Below are 16,209 nucleotides of genomic sequence, written 5' to 3'. Positions count from 1 at the left end.
CAATTATGGAAAAATATACGGTATTCTCCATATTTACTCACCAGAAATATCCATGAATGCACGATCCCATAATTCACCTACTGTATAACATTCTGCAGAAGTGATATTGACGGAAAGGACGATATCATCTTCAACATATTTTAGTATGAGATTATTTATCACAATGTTTACATTATTTACAACTCGTCTAATCAGACTCTGCACATAACCTATAAAATAGAAAAAAAGAATTTAATTAGCCACAAATCTCTCAGTAAATAATTATTTCTTAAAGTGTTATTGAACTTAATGTATGAGAAAGGTGGTTATTATTTAGCATATTTCCCAAAGAGAAACTGAAGTTCAGATAGGTTAAAAGGCTTGCCAAAGTGACACAGGTAATAAGTAGCAGATCGACCCCAACAAACGTCATTATCAAGAAGTTCTATAGTGAAGTATTCATATACTAAGAGAAACCACAAAGACCATATATATTTTTGATAACATAATATTAGATCCCATACAATGATTATCCTATTCTACAAGTACTTTGTTTGATTTTTGCTTATTGTATTATATAAACATTTTCCAAAATGAAGCAATGTTACTATATGCTGATTATACAGTATATTAGAAGATGGTCTTCTTTAAGCTTAAGCCTCTTTTTAAACCAGCTACCTTCATCTCTTCCTAGTTTAGCCATAAAAATATTTAAAAGTTATGCCTCGGATAGAAGAAACATGACCATCATAATGGATTCAACTCTACTCACTTACTAATATTTAATGTTAAAATAGAGTAGAGGGGAAAATATGAATGAAGAAGAAAATGTAGACAGGAAGAGTTAAAGAAATATTTTTAAAATACTACCATGAAGAAGACAGAAAAATGAAAAAACAAAAGTATGGAAGGAAGGAGAATGTATAAAAGTAGAATAAGAACACAGGGAAATAGGAAAAAGAAACAGAAATACAGGTTAACTCCAAACACTAAAAGTAATTAATGAACATTCTATTTCTCCATGGCTTGCTTAGAATCTCCAAAATTTTTCTTTTAATTTCATGCTACTGAGGAATACTCCATAATCTCACTTATGTTTCTCATGTAAGTGTGTACATGGATACATTATTGAGTAATTTAGTTAAAAATATAAATAACACTTTATAAAAAGCATTTTAAAAGCCAGGAGAAAAAAAAATTAATCTTTTCCACTGTAAAAAGCTAACTAAAAGGTAATGCATTTCCACTATTAAAGAAAACTATTTAAAAGGTAATTAAAATTTTAGCTATTTCATGAAATAACCATATGGTTGTATTCTTTAACCCAGAATTTTACTGGACAAAACATAATCAACTTCTGTCAGCATCTGACATTGTTAACACCTACACTAAAGCCTGCTGAGAGAAGACTTACTTAAATCTATTCAACCATAACGTGTGCAAAACCCAACTCCTTCATTCATTCCCAATGATGCAAATAGGAAAGAAATGTAATACAACTTAGATTCGAGGTTTTCTCCTATATAGAAACTATTAGCAGCTTTTAGAGTGCCAATTATCACATGCTATAAAATTAACATTCAAAATATTAATAGATTTAAAGTAACAATTACTCTTCCATGAGTAGATGCTAAAATAATTCTTAATAAATGAGACCTCCAAAAGAAATTGTAAGTATCAACATTTTAACCTTAGAATGTACATAACCCCATATTATTACTACTCAATGCAGATTTTAAAAACAAAAATGGGGCCAAGCACGGTGGCTCACGCCTGTAATCCCAGCACTTTGGGAGGCCAAGGCAGGCAGATCACAAGGTCAAAAGATGGAGACCATCCTGGCTGACACGGTGAAACCCTGTCTCTACTAAAAATACAAAAAAATTAGCCGGGCGTGGTGGCAGGCACCTGTAGTCCCAGCTACTCAGGAGGCTGAAGCAGGAGGATGGTGTGAACCCAGGAGGCGGAGCTTGCAGTGAGCCGGGATCGTGCCACTGCACTCCAGCCTGGGCGACAGAGCAAGACTCCATCTAAAAAATAAATAAATAAAAATGTTTCCAAGAAGTCAAGTGAGCATGACTAATATTGGTTTCCCTATTTCTCAAAAACCTGTCATGAACAGGGAACTTTTTTTTTTTTTGAGACTAGTCTCTCTCTATCGTCCAGGCTAGAGTGCAATGGCATGATCTCAACTCACGACAACCTCCGCCTCCCGGGTTCAAGTGATTCTCCTGCCTCAACCTCCTGAGTAGCTAGGATTACAGGCACGTGCCACCACGTCAGGCTAATTTTTGTATTTTTTTTAGTAGAGATGGGGTTTCACCATGTTGGTCAGGCTGGTCTCGAACTCCTGACCTCGTGATCCGCCCTCCTTGGCCTCCCAAAGTACTGGGATTACAGGCATGAGCCACCATGCCTGGCCAATACAGTACTCTTAAAAACCACGTAAGCATTCATGAGTTTTTATTATCTTTAAAACAGTATCAAAAATAGCATAGAAGTATAATGCAAAGTAATAGAAACAAAACACAATATGTATTTTAACTGATAGAACACTACTGATGGATTGTTCATCTTTTTAAAAATATTTTCTGGCTGGGCATGGTGGCTTACACCTATAATCCCAGCACTTTGGGAGGCCGAAGCAGACAGATCATTTGAGCTCAGGGGTTCGAGATCAGCCTGGGCAACATGGTAAAACCCCGTCTCTACAAAAATACAAAAATTAACTGGGTGTCGTGGCATGTGCCTTTAGTCCCAGCTACTCAGGAGGCTAAGGCAAGAGAATCGCTTGAGCACCAGAGGCGGAGGTTGCAGTGAGCCAAAGTTGCACCATCACACTCCAGCCTGGGTGACAGGAGTGAAACCGTGTCTCAAAATATATATATTTTTTTTTCTTTCCATTTTGTATTATAAAACTGACATACAAATTGAGATGAATAAGCCACTTCACCAAAGTAAAAGAATCAAATATCGAAAGAACTACTTCTGTAGAAGACTATCACTGTTTCCTTACTAAAAATGCAATGTCAAAATAAGTAACAGAAACTTATCAGTGGAATAAATGACAAACCGTCTCTATAATCCCTCACAGTAACTTAGTTCTAAGCAAGGTACAAGATAGTGTCAAGTAGATCTAATAGCTCTCATCACTCCATACTTAGAGACTCCCTGGGAGTATATTTGTTCATCATCCGGGTCTACTCCACACGCATCTGAAAATAGAAAGTCACACTAAGGATGAGAACCTACAAGATGTAATATTAGATGGCTCTAAAACAGCCTGCTACTAGTCAACCTTTCTCCAGAAATTCTTATTATCTACCTCTCCCCATACCTCATATAACCCCTTCTTCCAAACATACATCTATATCCACAGGCCCAGATGAAAACACTAATTTTCACTAACTTTACTCGTGTTCTTCCTCCTTTTTACAATACTTTTTGTCCATTCGCACTTCTTGTTCAGGTGCAGTATAATTTTCCTCTGCCTTATATTGTCTTCTCCAATGTCCTCCATCCTACACCTCAACATTAAAGAGAAATGTCTCTACCACTTTTCTTGGGCTTATGTTACTATTAGTCATTTTTTATGTATATGTATGCTTATCTTCTCTGATAAACTGTGAAGTCCTAGAGAAAAAAGACTGTATCTTATTTATTTCTCTGATAGTCTTAAATGGCATGTATCAAAAAATTTTGGTTACAAAGAGACACCATCTGCAATTGATTCATCTTGATGTGGTCACTGGGAAGCCAAGCTGCTCATAATCAGAAATGCCACGGTTGATGACTTGGTTACAGTACATAAAAACATCGTAGTCAAGTTTTTGGTGTAAAATTTATTTGAGCATTATGTAGCATCAGATAGGAAATTTATGCTCAAATGGTTAAAGGGAAAATAAGTTCTTTAGAATGTTCTTGTCTTTTATGAAATGCTGAAATTGTTTCAAAATAAAAACTTTGTTAAAAGGGCAAGAATAAAAAATCTTTACTGTCAATGTTATAGACAGGCCCAATAAAATATGAATTAAAAACATCAGATTTAATAACTAGATAATAATTTTGGGCAATTACTGTAGGAGCTAAAAAAACCGATGTGAGTTGGTGATACTATATTATTTAAGATGGTCACAGAAGTTCTAGACAATGAAATAAAGGGAAAAAAGAGAAATTAGTGTATAAGTATTGCAAAGGAGGGAAAAAAGTCATTTCACAAAGATGACAGTACTTTTTATATAGAAACTCCAAAAGAAGCGACTAAAAAATACTGAATACTGGTCAGCTAACAAAATATAAAAATTAGCTTTCCTAACAAAAAAGTATAAAAAGAAAATGGTAAAGATGGAAATCCCAATTAGCAATAAAATGTATGATAGCATTTTCCACCTATAAAAGTTTTAAGAGATTTTTTTAATAATAAAAAACAGCATTACACTAAAAATGTGATTGGAATAAAGTATTGTTACAAACTTTCCACAGAGTAATTTAGCCATTTTATGCCAAAAACCTTAAAAGTGCTCACAAATTTTGACTCTATAAATTGGAAAGGAGTTTTCCTAAAGATATAAGCAGAGGTGTATGCAAAGACTTACCTACATATGTTTGCTAAAGCATTTTACAAAACTAAAAATAACAAATAACCTAAATATCAAACCAAAAAAAGGACTGGTTAAATAAACTGTAGAAGAGTTATACAACAGGATTGTATGCCACTGATTGAAATAACAACGTAAAAAATGTGAATGGCCTGGAAACATGTTTTTGGCATAACATTAAATGAAAAATTTAGGTTATAACAAATTGTTTTTGTGTGCATATGTGTGAGTGTGTGTGTGTAAAGGAAGAAAAGACTCTCTAAAAGGTTGTACACCACAATGTTAACCGGTTTCAGTTCTGGATAAGATAAAGTAAACACTCCACCCTGTCTTTCCCAGTGACTGAAGCCATAAAACCTGGAGAGAATGTATGGAGCAGCTACTTCAGGGCTCTTAAAAAGTAAATAGTAGGCATGAGATGGGAAACAGGAACAAAAAACAGAGTGAACAAAGAAAAACAACAAATGAAATGGCAGAAGTAAATACAACCACATCAATAATTATAATCTAATTTAATCACATTGTGGTCAGAGAGAAAGATACATGATAGTGATGCTTTGAAATTTCTCAAGACTTCCTTTTCAACCAAGTCTTTGTTAATATCTGTAGATACTCAATGTGTGCATCAAAAGAAATGTATACTGTCTTATGTGCCTAGTGCAGAGTTTACATGTATCTACTAAAACAAAATTTTGATATCCAGTGAACTAATCTGGAGATTTTTTTTCCCTGCTTGATTTATGACATTTCAAAGTCACATTGTTAGGTCCATACAAAGTCAATGTGTATCTTCTGGAGAACTATATATTTTATTATAATTTAGTATCTTTATTACCTATCTCCATTAATGTTTTTTGTCTTTAGTTTTCTTATTTTTGCCTCATTTTTATATGAAAGATACAGATTTATTTTTGGCTACTATTTGTCTCTTATATTATCTCCCATACTTTCATTTTTGATCTGTCTTGCCTCTGTTTCATGTGTGTGTTCAGAAGCCACACACACCTGGACATGACAACTCCCTCCTTTTAGTGCCCAAAAGATATTACTTGTGGTTCATTAGAGCTCATCTTCCTTTGGCTTTGTACTGTGATTGATAGTTTAAAAGGCTCCTATCCTAAACAGTTAACTCTTTGAGGGCAAAAATAGCCCTCAATGAGCTGCTCTAGCATATTATTCAAATAGTGATACACATTTAGGGAAATAAACAGCCTGTCTCCACTAAACAATAATTTGAAATTCAGTCAAATTAAAATGAAATAAAGGCTCTCTAATGATCACGTTTTCTGTAATAAAATATAAACATCAGCTATCTTGAAGGTTATTAACAAAATAATACTTTGAAGCATAATCCATTTAAGAATGGATTGATACATTAATAAGAAAGAACACCTGTATGGCAGAGAAGCTAGCTATCCATCAATAATTTGTGCTCCCACTTCAGGAATGTGGAATTGCTACTGAGATTTAACTTCTAAGTCATAAGTAATATCCCTGCAAATAGTTCTCCTCAATGAAATTTGATCAGAGGAATATGTATCACTTCCAGCCTGGGGATATTAAGAAGCAGATAGGTCTTCTCCAGACTCTTTCCTCTTGAAAAGGCTGAAAGCAGCAGAATCCAAAGTCTGGCCTAAAAGATACCAGAGTCTCAAGATAAAAGTACCTTGGGCTTGGTACAGTGGTTTACACCTGTAATCCCAGGACCCAATTTGTTCTGAAGTCATGTAGCAAGTACATATGCACATATAGCTTAAAAGTTTTATGATACTAAAAATATATATTCTACAAAGTACTAAAACAATGATCAATTTTTTTTTTTTTTTTTTGAGACAGAGTATCACTCTGTCACCCAGGCTGGAATGCAGTAGCATGATCTTGGCTCACTGTAACCCCCACCTCCCAGGTTCAAGTGATTCTCCTGCCTCAGCCTCCCGAGTAGCTGAGATTACAGGTGCACACCACCACACCCGGCTAATTTTTGTATTTTTAGCAGAGACATGGCTTCACCATGTTGGCCAGGCTGGTCTCAAACTCCTGACCTCAAGTAATCCACCCGCCTCAGCCCCCCAAAGCACTGGGATTACAGGCATGAGCCACCATGCCCGGCCAAAAATTGAAATTTGGTTTTATTGATCCCATTAGAAGTTACCTGGTGGTAAGTCAGGATCTGTAGGAGCAGCCTGCTGCATTCTCCGCGGTTTGATTGATGATTTTGTGCTCTCAGCAGTACTACGGTTGGTAGAATTAGAACCACAGCTTTCATGGTCATCCTATTTTTATTTTAAAGAAAGAAAAAGAAAACCATCGATCATACTCAAGAATTAAGAAAAAAAATTTTTTAATATATGCAGTTTATGGTAGCTACAGGAGATAAGATCAACATAATTTTATTTTTTAGCTCTAAAAACTACATAACCAATTTTCATAATTTGCATTCTCAAACAGCATTTAAAAAATATTAATAACTCATAGTTTAAAACTATAAATTCTTCTTTCTTTAGCTGATATCAAAACAAACTACTTGACAATCTCCAAAGAATTCTTATTTATGGCTCTAGCAAAAGAAAAAATGACTTAATGAAAGCCTTTAAACAACATCCATCTCTATGTAAGTGCAAAATAAATAAAAAGGTTCTTAATTTTTCCCCATTTGTTGTTTATATGTTAAAACACTATTTTCAATCCAAGCTATCTTGGTCATCTTTAATGATTAATCTTAATAATCCTTATAATCCTCTCCTAAACAATGTATACTAAACAATGTATACTAAATTATCATTCATGTTAGGTATAAGTTTTAACTGGGTTTCAATATGAGTAACAGAAACAAATAAATTATACATATTTTTGAAATTTATCCCTGTATTTATAACTGCAAATGAGTACTTTTTTCCTGTCCTGATTCAACATGTATATAATACTCTTACATGCCAAATTGCTGGATTTACAAGGATAAATTAGATATATTTATCTTTGTATCCTGTCCTTAGGGACTTCAGAATCTATCGAACACATGTATAACTAATTCTACAAAAGCAATACTTTTTGTTTGTTTGTTTGTTTTTAAGTAATAAGGAGTATAAAAAGAGTCATTCTGTTTGGAAGAACTAGAAAGATCAGGCCATTCAAAATCAAATGTAGAAATGTTTTAGGTTTAGACTGGGGCTAAATGAGGGGTGGTGGGAGGAACCATAAGCAAAAGCAAAACAGTATCAACGTATGTAGCACGTACAAAGAATGATGATTAGTCAAATAAGGCCAGAGTATACAGTGTCTAAGATGGAAGAAGTTAAAGGCACAGACCTTTCAATAAAAATGGGGTAATGTTAACAACTATAGAGATATTCTTAGTCCTCATTCTAGTTGACCTGTTTCAGGATTTGGTAATTAGGAGGAGGCTGCCACTAACCTATTAGAAAGGTGATTTAGCAGTTCCCACAGAGGGAGAGAAGTGGGAGCAGTAAATGAGTAGCTCAGAGTGAATGAGAAGTTACCATGGAGTCAATTAAAATAAATTGCTCTTTCACGAAGATAGGCATTACGAAGAGAAAATAGGTAGAGTAGTAACATGAGGGAAGATCAGCTGGCAACTAACTTCTTGTTCCTTTTTTAAGGATAAAAGAATACATTTTTGCTTGAAGTAAAGATGCACATGTGGAGTGAGAGATCAAAGATACCAACACAAAGGGTAGCTGAGAGTGCATTGCGCACCATGAATTCATTAATCAATAATAACACTATTTTATAATACTTACAAGAATGGTATTAAATTTAGTTTTTCTACTTTATATATTTGAAGGGAAAATTTCAAGAGCATATAAAAGAATAATCATCACTAGTTTACCAAACTAACAGGGTACTAGAGGCAAATAAGAACGACAATAAGACCTCTTTAAGAAAACTTTTATTCACTATCACACTAAGAGAAATATACAATAAAAGGTGTTTTACAAAACAGCATGGCTTCAGATGGTAGTGATACGTTAGAAAAAAATTTGTTTGAAACTTCATACAAGCAAAAAGACTTGCAACCATAAACAACACTGAAAATTTTCTCATGAACTTATGTTCATTTTAAGTTAATGAAAAACAAACATCACAGGTTTCATTCCACAAAATAACTTCACTATTCAATATTCATAAAGACATCTTCTGTTATTTGGGGGATGTTACAGTCTTAAATACTAAAAGACTACTACTGTGAATAAAGCCTCACTGTAATTACTTTTAGTTCAACTTAAATCCTTAAAAATGTCCATAGTCATACACTTCTGCACAACATTAACATTAAAAGCACATTATTAATTTTTGAAACATATGGTTGTCTCAGAAGCCCAGAAGTAAAACATGTTCATTAAAAAGATGTGAAAAAGTTCCAAGTGAACTGCCAAAACTAGCATAATTATGAAAATATTTAACACTGAAACCATCTGAAATCACATACTGTATATAGATTATGGTGATGTCATAATAAACATTCCAGCCAAAATGCACTAAAACTACTGCAGTCCAATAAATCTGGCATATGTGAGATGACAAACATTTTAAAGCAAAAGAAAGAACAAGTTATTTTTACTCTATTTTTTAAAAATTATTAGCAGCAAAATGGGATTAAATGAAAACGATGAGTTTTCAAATTTTTGTTAAAAAAAAGTGAGTAAAGGTCTATTCAGAGATTCGACTTCTTCCTGGTTTAGTCTTGGGAGAGTGTCTGTGTCGAGGAATTTATCCATTTCTTCTAGATTTTCTAGTTTATTTGTGTAGAGGTGTTTGTAGTATTCTCTCAACCCAAATGTCCAACAATGATAGACTGGATTAAGAAAATGTGGCACATATACACCATGGAATACTATGCAGCCATAAAAAACGATGAGTTCATGTCCTTTGTAGGGACATGGATGAAATTGGAAATCATCATTCTCAGTAAACTATCACAAGACCAGAAAACCAAACACCGCATATTCTCACTCATAGGTGGGAATTGAACAATGAGAACACATGGACACAGGAAGGGGAACATCGCACTCTGGGGACTGTTGTGAGGTGGGGGGAGGGGGGAGGTATAGCACTGGGAAATATACCTAATGCTAGATGACAAGTTAGTGGGTGCAGCGCACCAGCATGGCACATGTATACATATGTAACTAAACTGCACATTGTGCACATGTACCCTAAAACTTAAAGTATAATAATAATAAATAAATAAAAAAAATTTAAAAAAAAAAATTTCCAAATTTGAGGTGCTTTGAATAGCATAGACTCCCAGAGTATGCAGTGTAAAGAACTCTAAGTGAGATATGTTTGTCCACTTTTGTATTTAACTCTTCATAACTTTCACATTTCTTAATGAGGCTGTTCTTTTTCAAGTGCTGTTCTTTCCAGTAACCAAATCCTCTTTGGGGTTTTCCTGTTGTCTTAATTAAAGATACTGTATTTGATTGATTTAATTATCTCTCTACATCATAAAATTTATAATATTATTTGTATAGACATCTTTAGGAGTCATTCAGTGTAATTTTAAAAATAAGTGCTTGACATATTTAATTTGTGGTGCCATTGATTTTACCAATATAAAATATACCAAAGTATACAAAATGTATATAATACATAGCAATTAAATAATGATAGCACTGAAAAAAAAAAAGTGAGTAAAGCTTCCCTGCAAACTACATGTATTTATTATTCAAAAGAAAAACAAACTAAATAACTTTATTTGCCTAAACAAAATTTATTTTAAAAACTTGAAATTTTGGTGTGCTTAAAAAATGAGCATTAATCATGGTACTCATAGGAATATATACTATAAACCAAACATTACCAAACATGTAAACACTTCTTTCTTAATTATGGTTAGGAAACTTTGACAATGTATATACTATAATTAGAAATTAATCCTTTCAATGATTTGAACTTGCTTTCATTTCAATTACATTTTAGTTGTATCAAATAAAAGTGAGTTTCCATTCAAATCATGCCCCAATCAAATTAAATAAATAAAAATAAAGCAAAATAAGAATAATTATAATATTTACTATTAAGACTGAAATTACTTCCATTAGTTTTGAATTCATCATCTGCTTTTAACCAGTAGGCATCACTGTGGACCATTACACAGTTTTCGTTCATTGAAAGCCCTTAATTACTAATAAAAGAAACTCTGTTCTCAAAAATACCAGCTAAAATATTTTAAGATAATCTTTAACACCAAAAGCATTACAGTCATATCTTATTTAGGTTGCAATTTTCCAAAATGTCTGGTAAGTATATTTCATGGCCAAAGAATGTTTTCTCTTGGGGACCACATAGCTATTTCTGAAAATACTGCCATTTGCTCCTCATGAAACAAGCAAGAATGTCATTTCCTTACAAAAGTTCCTAACAGAGGAAAAATGTGTGGCAAACACTGCACGTAAACAGATCCATTACTTTCATACTGACAGATCATGAGTTCATGTTACTCACTTTTCTCCCTGTCCCTCACAGGGTTTGTCAACTAAAACTAGAAAACCATCAACTCCCAGATTCACAATAGTGTGAATAACATTTAGAATAAAACTGAAAACAAGTGACTACATCATTGAAGTCCTTGTCTAAAACTACAGAGCAAGAGGTTAAGATGCAGGAAAGAGCTGAAGAAGGAGAAAGTGGACAGTGAAACTAAGAGGTGATGTACTTTATGCTCTTCAACCCTGTGGCACCAAACTTCGCAAGCAGAAAAGAACTAAGACTCACCTGTCAGCTCTGGTCACCAAAGGGGCTTAGAAATGAACTGCTACAAGGCTTTTAGGAACATTCACCTCTATCCTCTCCAGTAGCAAGTACAATGACAACAGCCAGATGCAATAAAGAATCTCTGAGAGTAATACTGCACACTTCAAAGACAGAAAGCTAAATAAAGTCATTTACTCAGAGGTACACTTGGAGAGCACAAGAGAGAGCCAGGGAAAACACATTCACTAACTTTCATGGTAAAAATAGAAATCTGACTCAACTCTACCTTAACAGCAATATTTAAAACCTTAACTTTAGTCATAAAAAATATATATATCAAGCATGCTTAAATAAAGAGGAATATATAGCACCAATCTCTTCACACATCAACTTTAGTCCACAAGGGAGGCTGTTTCCATCTTCTATCAAGGGTGGAAAAAAGGGGTTATGACAGGCTGGAAAAAGGAAAAAGAAATGACCCTCCCTTGTATTCTTTTCATTTGATCATCTCAAAGGAAGATATAACTAACCTTAATGACCAAAAGCTGAACATTCATTGGGCCACATTTTAACAATAAAAGAGATCACCATATTCACTGTGAACACTTCTATGTGCTTTTCTAATCTCTGCTCTTCTAATCTCTGAGACCCATGCTACTCAGTAAAAGGACCAGAGTCATTTTCCCAGATGACTCAACCATTAGCCATCTCTCCTCTGCCTTCTTTTCACCCACATAGCCCCCGACCCATGATACTGCCCCAGCCACAGAATAATCAAACTATTAAACTATGCCAGAACATATATCAGAGAAATTGCAAAACATGTTATGAAAAATTTGTTCTTTATTGCTACCTATGACATTCCTTTCCTTCATATTGGTGGGTATGTGGGTGTGTATCCGATTGCCACCTCCCTCTCCCACTTTTTTTAAACCACAGAATTGAAACTGTGAGATCCACTCTAAGATTTAGAAGGTGAAATAGGCAGAAATTCAGGGAGGAAGAAAAAAAAAGTAAATACAGAACTACTCTGGTCTAAACCACATTCTACCATCTAATTTTTACCAAATTCACTGGGGGGAACTGGGTTATTGAACAGATTAATTTAACTGCACTTTGTTTTCTTGTATATAACTTCCCTCAGCAAAAGATGTCTGAGCAAAGAAAAGTATGTGTTAGGCACCTTCAGGAAAAAAAAATTTAAAAAAAGTAGTAAAATTGATACCTTTATCTAAGTATTTTACCTATTTACTCAAATAACAAAACCTATGTAAACACTAAAAAGTTAGTAATTTAAGAGTTAATCAGGCCAGGCATGGTGGCTCACACCTATAATCCCAGCACTTTGGGAAGCAGGTGGATTGCCTGAGGTTAGGAGTTCGAGACCAGTGTGGCCAACATGGTGTAACCCTGTCCCTTCTAAAACTTCAAAAAAATTAGCTGGGCGTGGTGCTTTGCACCTGTAATCCCAGCTACTCAGGAGGCTGAGGCAGGGGAATCACTTGAACCAGGGAAGTAGAGGTTGCAGTGAGCCAAGATCGCACCACTGCACTCCTGCCTGGGTGACAGAGAGAGACTCTGTGTGAAAAAAAAAAAAAAAAAAGTTTATGATTATACATGTCACAAAGAAATAGCAGTTACTAGGCAGCAAGTATTTCAAGGATAAGAAAAGTAGAGCTTCTCTTAAGAAAAGTGGAGAGTAGGCATAAACTAAAAATAAAATCCTTAGCCCCCAAAACTATCTGAATGGACCCCTCCGCTCAAGCCATAGGCATTCCAAACTTAACCTGAAAAACTACTTCAGGCTATGATGGGAGTGGGAGGTCAGACATGCCTCATTATACCCGCCTCTCCTTGAAATTCAGGCACAACTGACCAGTATTAACATTAAAACAGAAATCTTAAGACTTTTTGTAGCAATAAGACACCAAATTCTACCCTGACTCTAGTATTGCATCACATGACAGATCACAGGCCCTGAAAGAAATCAAAGTATAACCCTTATACATATTTTGAAATGGCCCTATAAAGCTGTCTCTTGTGGGGAAAATCTATATTCTGTAGAGAATCCCTTTCCCTTTCCTGGTGGTCTTTTCTCTGATACAGGAGAGAATTAACTAAGAGTCTGGCACCTTTTTAAGTGTGATTAAGAAACATTTACAATCTATTCTTTCTGAAGCCTGCTACCTGGAAACTTCATCTGCATAATAAGAACTTTGTTCTCCACAATCCCTTATCTGAACTCAGACACTCCCTTCTATGGATTCCAGGTCTTTAGATAAATTCTTTCAACCAACTGCAAATCTTTGATTCCACCTATTACTTGGAAGCCCCTTCCTCCTAACGTTGTCCTGCTTTTCCAGACCAAACCAATGTACATTTGATATATATTGATTGATGTCTTATGTCTCCATAAAATGCACAAAACCAAGGTGTAGCCTGACCACCTTGGGCACACGTCATCAGGACGTCCTGAGGCTTGTCCTTAACCTTGGCAAAATAAACTTCTAAATTGAGACTTGTCTCAAATGCTTTTTGGTTTACAAACAGAAGGAAGGAAGGCAGGGATGGATGAAAAAGAGACAAACAGAAAAAACATTGTAACACTTTCAATATGTCACATACTGCTAAAGACATTATGTTCATATCTCAATCCTCCTAATCGACTCTATGAATGCAAGAATATCCTCATTTTATAGATGAAGAAACGAAGGCATAAAGAGATTAAATGCTTCAAAATCACACAGCTATTAAATGCCCAATACTAACCACTTTGCCCTACTGCCTCCCTATGAGAAAAAGGGAACTGAAAAATATAATACTAAATTAACAACCTATCCTTTCCTAACCTATCCAACCTAACCTTTCCTTATCCTGAGAAAAGAAAAATCAGAGTGAGATTGAGTAGTCAGGAAAACATCACAAAGAACAAGAGATTTGAAAAGACTGTACCTGCAGGAATGAAAAAGGAAAAGTTGAACAAGGCAAGGTAACATGCCTTACTGAAATGATAATGGATAGCCCAATTTAGGTTAAATAGAGAGCAGTGAAATATCAAGCTGTAAAAAGAAACTAGGGCAAATGGCAGAGGGCCTATTAGTCCAAGAAATTTAAACTTTATTCTATATATTAAACAAGCCAATTAAACTTATGAATGGGAGAATAAAAAGATGAAGTATTTCATTTAGGAAGAAGACTCTTCTGAGTATTTGGCCAAGAGCAAAAGCAGAAACATTAGCAATAGATTATTATAAAAGTTTAGAAATTAAATAATGAGGGAAGTAGCACTGAGAAAAAATTTTTTTATGTGAGCACCTCAAATTGAACACGTCTAAAACAAAACTCATAACTCTGCAACTGATTCAGCTCCTTTTTCCCCTTCTCCCATTGTTTCCCCCAAAATCCTCTGTCCTTTATTCCCTAATTCAGTTAATGACACTATTATCTTCTCAGTCTCCTAAGAAAGAAGAATATAATCTAACTTTTATGTCTGCTCTAACATTGCAAAATGATGCTAATGAGATCTGCAAATTTCAGAACAGAAAAACAGATGCCTGACCATGAGTCATATAAGACAACACTAATCTCTAAGCTCTACACTACCCAGGAAATTACCAATTGATTTTTTTTTTAAGATCTGATATTTAAGGTTAAATGGTAAATTCAATTTTTTTTTTTTTTTTTTTTGAGACAGGGTCTCACTCTGTCACTCAGTCTGGAGTACAGTGGCGCAATCTCGGCTCACTGCAACCTCTGCCTCGGGGGTTCAAGCAATTCTCCTGCCTCAACCTCCCGAGTAGCTGGGATTACACGTGCATGCCACCACGCCCAGCTAATTTTTGTATTTTCAGTAGAGATGGGGTTTCACCATATTGGCCAGGCTGGTCTCGAACTCCTGACCTTAACTGATCTACCTGCTTCGGCCTCCCAAAGTGCTGGGTTTACCGACATGAGCCACTGCGCCCAGCCTAATAAATTCAATTTTTGATAGGTGGTATTTCTAGTAAAGGCATGACATACAATTATATATGTGCACAGGAAAGCTGAATGTGTACTAGAAGAGACTGAAAGAGATCAGTTATATAAAGACTTAGGACTCATTTAAAATACAAGTTATACTTGAAACAGGGCTTTGTAGCATATTCCTATAATCCCAGCTACTCAGGAGGCTGAGGGTGGAGAACTGCTTGAACCAAAGAATTGGCAGCCAGGCTGGGCTACATAAACAGACCCAGTCTATAAAAAAAAAAAAAAACAAAAAAACAGTGGGTGGAGCCAAGATGGCTGAATAGGAACAACGCCAGTCTACAGCTCCCAACATGAGCGATGCAGAAGACAGGTGATTTCTGCATTTCCAACTGAGGTACCGGGTTCATCTCACTGGGGAGTGTCAGAAAGTAGATGCAGGACAGTGGGTGCAGCGTACCAAGCGTGGGCCGAAGCAGGGTGAGGCACTGCCTCACCCTGGAAGTGCAAGGGGTCAGGGAATTCCCTTTCCTAGTCAAAGAAAGGGGTGACAGACGGCACCTGGAAAATCAGGTCACTCCCACCCTAATACTGTGCTTTTCCAACGGTCTTAGCAAACGGCACACCAGGAGATTAAATCCCGCACATGGCTGGGTGGGTCCTACGCCCACAGAGCCTCGCTGATTGCTAGCACAGCAGTCTGAGATCAAACTGCAAGGGGGCAGCGAGGCTGGGGGAGGGGGCGCCCGCCATTGCTGAGGCATGAGTAGGTAAACAAAGCGGCCTGGAAGCTCAAACTGGGTGGAGCCCACCACAGCTCAAGGAGGCCTGCCTGCCTCTGTAGACTCCACCTCTGCGGGCAGGGCATAGCCAAACAAAGGTAGCAGAATCCTCTGCAGACTTAAATGTCCCTGTCTGACAGCTTTGAAGAGAGTAGTGGTTCTCCCAGCAC

General features: G+C 35.7%; 1 protein-coding gene across 5 annotated transcripts in view; it reads right to left on the bottom strand.

Moving 5' to 3' along the window:
- The window catches only part of VPS13B (vacuolar protein sorting 13 homolog B), an 864,307-nt gene that overhangs the window by 774,419 nt on the left and 73,679 nt on the right, over positions 1-16,209 (bottom strand). For all 5 annotated transcript variants that reach the window (NR_047582.2, NM_152564.5, NM_017890.5 and 2 more), the window contains 2 exons: positions 6,730-6,850; positions 42-209 (listed from right to left, as the gene is read on the bottom strand). Coding sequence is in view for 4 of the 5 variants with exons in the window: in NM_152564.5 (NP_689777.3) it covers positions 42-209; positions 6,730-6,850 (289 nt within the window). In the remaining variant the exon portion in view is untranslated. The remainder of the gene's footprint in view (positions 1-41; positions 210-6,729; positions 6,851-16,209) is intronic.

Source organism: Homo sapiens, chromosome 8 (genome assembly GCF_000001405.40).
Source record: "Homo sapiens chromosome 8, GRCh38.p14 Primary Assembly".
In the NCBI taxonomy this organism is placed as follows: Eukaryota; Metazoa; Chordata; class Mammalia; order Primates; family Hominidae; genus Homo; species Homo sapiens.
This window is presented reverse-complemented; position numbering and strand designations above follow the sequence as displayed.